Here is a 3,800-nt window from a genome sequence, read left to right as displayed (position 1 = left end):
AGGATGAATTCTGTAGGTTTTCATCTCTCCTAGGTAGAGGCCCTGGAGTGGAATTGCCGGGTCACAGGGTAATACATGTCTAACTGCTCGAGGCGCTGCCGGACTGTCTTCCAAAGCAGTTACAGCATTTCACATTCTCACCCACAATGCATGAGGGCTCGTTTCTCCACGTCCTCATCTCCTCATCAACAGTTGTCATTGTCTGACTTTTTGAGTAGAGCCATCCTGGTGGTGTTAGTGGCACCTCCTTGTGGTTTTGATTTACCTTTCCTTGGTGGCTAATGACGGCAAGCATCTTCTCACATGTGTACTGGTCACTGGTGTATCTTGTCTGGACACATGTCTATTCCAGTCCTTGGCCCATTTTAAAATCAGGTGATTTTTGTCATTGCTTTGACTGCTTTTTAGTTGGGTTGTCCTTTTGTTATTGAGTTATAACAGTTCTTTACACATTCTAGGTCCAAGCCCCTTATCGTATATATGATTTGCAAATATTTTCTTCTTTTCTGTGTTGTCTTTTCATTTTCTTGATAGCATTCTTTGAAGCATAAAAGCTTTTAACTCTGATGGAGTCCAATTTATCTACTTTTTCTTTTGTTGCTCATGCGAATCATATTCCATTGTAGGGACAGACCACGTTCCTCTGTCATGGACACTTTCTTTGCTTCCACCTTTGGCTATTGTGAGTGATGCTGTTGTGAACATGGGTGTGCACATATCTGTTTGAGGCCCTGCTTTCAATTCTTTTGGGTCTACACTGAGAAGTGGGATTGCCGGATCATAGGGGAATTGTATTGTATGTTTAACTCCTTCGGGAACCACCACACCGTTTCCCACGGCGGCTGCACCACTTTTCCTCCCCCCAGCAATGGAGCCACAGAGGTTCTTATTTCTCCACATCCTCACCAACCAGAGAATGGCCTCTCGCAACAGACGCTGGGGGCCAAGCTCCGTGGTAGAGGCCGTCGAAAGCACTCCAAGGTCAAACAGGCTTGGGAAACAGTGAGCACGTTTCTTTCCCACAAGACTCCTCAGAGTGCTCGATGTGCCAATGAGCTCAGGACCCACAAAGGGCGACGTGCGTGGGGCCCCAGACCCTCTGCTTCCTTTACGGCTGCTGAGGAACCGTGCTCTGAGGGGCAGCCTGGGGACTGGCTGGTCCCCCATGGCACAGGCCCACAGCAGGGTAAACTCAGAAAGCAAGAGGCAGCGCACATACTCAACTCCAGCCCCTCAGCGCCCTGGCATCTCACGCAGGAGTATCCACTTACCAAGGTGTCAATCGTGATGGACGGGAAATAACAAAAAGGGGTCTTTCGTCAGACAGGTTGAGAACTGTGGTTCCAGAAGGCCCTGCTATCGAGGTTTGGGCAGGGTTGGCGGGGAGGTGTGACCCATCCAGACCCCCAGCTTGCCCGGCCAGTGGGCACAGGGCAGCTGCTGTGCCTGACTCTCCACACTCCCTCAGTAATGCCCCAGAATGTCAGCTTTTCATGGAAACGTCAATGCTTCCTGCATAATTGGCTTCTTCCCAGTTAGAGGCCTGAGCTCTGGGAGGAAATCATGGAAAGATACAAACTCAGGTTTAGAAGGGATCCCAAAGGCCCAAACCCTCCCACAAGGATGGAGCTCCTCCAGATCGCAGGGAGGCCCCCAGGTCTCTGCTTCCCCACCTCCAGAGATGGGAGCACACCACCTCCTGGCACAGCCTCTACCCCTGGGTGCCCAGCAGAGTCCTCCCTGCCGCAGAGTTTTTCTTGAGGCAGAACTCCTATCAGAGGGAAGCTGGGGATGGGGGACAGGTGGGCAGGTCCCACCCTCCCAGCAGAAGGGAAGGAAAAACTGGCCTCCCAGTTCCCCACATCCACCTTCCCCATGCACCTATTGGCCAGATCTGAGAACGCAAGCTCCTGCTTACAAGAGACATACTGGGGACACACGGGGACCACGGCGACTGCAGAGGAAGTCAAAGCAAAGGCGTTAGCAGGAAGAGGAAAATCTGATTCATTTTTGGGCCGCATTCCAGACTTTATACCTGGCCCATCTCAGCATTTTCTGAATGGACAGACTCAGAGGAGGGAAGGAAGGGGACATCTTGTGCCCTAGAAATTCACTGCCCAGAGCTCCCTCCTAAGGCGCTGTTGGTTTGGAGTCACAGGACATTAATGAGCTTTGGAAGGGAATGTTGGTCAGCACAAAGCAGTGGCTCAGAGCCAGGCTCTGAGCCCAGGGGTTGGGGCCGAGTCCTCCCTCAGCCCCAGAGCTGCTGGGTGACCTTGAGCAAGTTGCTGAATCTCTCTGAACCTCTGGTTCCTTATCTGAGAAATGGAGGCAATGAGGAGGCCAACCTCGGGAGGCTGCCGGGAGGCTTCAGTGGCAAAGGCAGGAAGAATACGCCATCCAGGGCCGGTGCAGAGCAAGAGCCTGCCACAGGGGCCAATAGAGCTGACATCAACCTCCCCACCAGGGATGAGTCCCCTCTATGGCCCAGGCCAATCAGAAGGAGGGAGAAGACAGAGGTCCTGCCCGAGCCCAGGAGGTCAGCAGGAAGAAAGAAGCCCCCACACCCAATTATAAGGCCCTGAGAGGAAGGGTGGAAGGGCCTGGGAGGAGAATGACTTCTGCCTTGGGGATCAATGTGGGCATCACTGGTCTCCCAGTTCTGGGCCCTGGGCCTGGCCCAGGCAGGGACCGCCTGCTGTCCAGGGTGCAATGGGAGAAGGGGCATTGGGCAGACTGCTGGGGGGCTTCAGCCTCGTGACATCCTCTCAGCCAATCCACTTTTCCTTTAGGGTCCTGAGTGCTGAAGCAGCCCCGTGCGCTTCCTCTCCAGTGCTGCACGGGGCACACAGAGCATCTGATCTCTGCAGTGCCCACCAGGGCGTGTCTTGGGGTTCAACTCGACTTTCAGCACCACAGGCCTAACCTAGGCCACCATCCACAGAGAAGGACCCAGGACAGGAGCACAGCCTGCCAGGATGCCAGGAGGGTAGCTTCGAGTGTTCCTCTTCTGCAGTTCCCCACACAGCCACATGGGAACCATCTCCATTGTCAATCACCCCCCAACCCCCGTGACCACACAGGTGCAAAGAGACCAGAGACACATCAGGCAGGTATGGGAGCTGCCCTGGCTTAAAAGCCTCATGCCCCTCAGGAGCCAACACCTCTACTAACAATTCCATCAGCAAAGTGTCCCGGACACCCCACAGGGACGTGTCCAGCACAGAGTAACTGTGCTCTGTGAAGCCCAAGCCTGGTGGCCCAGCAGGTACTCATAGCCCCCCTGCCCAGATACCATTGTGCCATTAGCAATACTGCCCAGCAGCAGCGGGACATTCTGCTTTTACCTGGTTCCCAGGGAAACAGAGCTAGAAAGTTAACCCAAGATCAAATTCTCATGCAGGGCAAAGGGTTTTGTTATCATAGTCCGCCCCATGACTTTTGGTCAACACCTTTACATGGATACCAATGCATTTTACGACCACCAGGAGTTGTATAACCCAATGGGGCATGAACGTCCCTTTTGTCCTCTAACCAAGTGGACTTCCCCCGTGGTCAGTTAGTTTTATAGCCCCATGGTGCCTTTTGATCCTGGGATGAAAGGCAATGGTACGTCGGATAACACTAAATGTGTTTAATGCACCAAAGATGGAACACTGTTTTACCAGAAGCCACTGAATGAATGACATGAAAAGTCACCTAGAGATGTGATTGTCTGTGATTCTGTTATGATTTGGGCCTGTTTTTCTCTCTCTGGAACATATGGGCTGTGTTAAAATGAAAGTTCATCATAAATAGGA

The 3,800-nt window shown here is 52.7% G+C and overlaps 1 annotated feature.

The window, feature by feature from the left end:
• Positions 1,249-1,749: an enhancer, noted in NCBI's record as "H3K4me1 hESC enhancer chr3:129072356-129072856 (GRCh37/hg19 assembly coordinates)". NCBI's record gives its function as "activates a minimal SCP1, AML or CMV promoter by ChIP-STARR-seq in naive H9 embryonic stem cells {active_cell/tissue: H9 hESC(naive)}" and the evidence as "EXISTENCE:reporter gene assay evidence [ECO:0000049][PMID:30033119]".

Source organism: Homo sapiens, chromosome 3, assembly GCF_000001405.40.
Source record: "Homo sapiens chromosome 3, GRCh38.p14 Primary Assembly".
NCBI lineage: Eukaryota > Metazoa > Chordata > Mammalia > Primates > Hominidae > Homo > Homo sapiens.
This window is presented reverse-complemented; position numbering and strand designations above follow the sequence as displayed.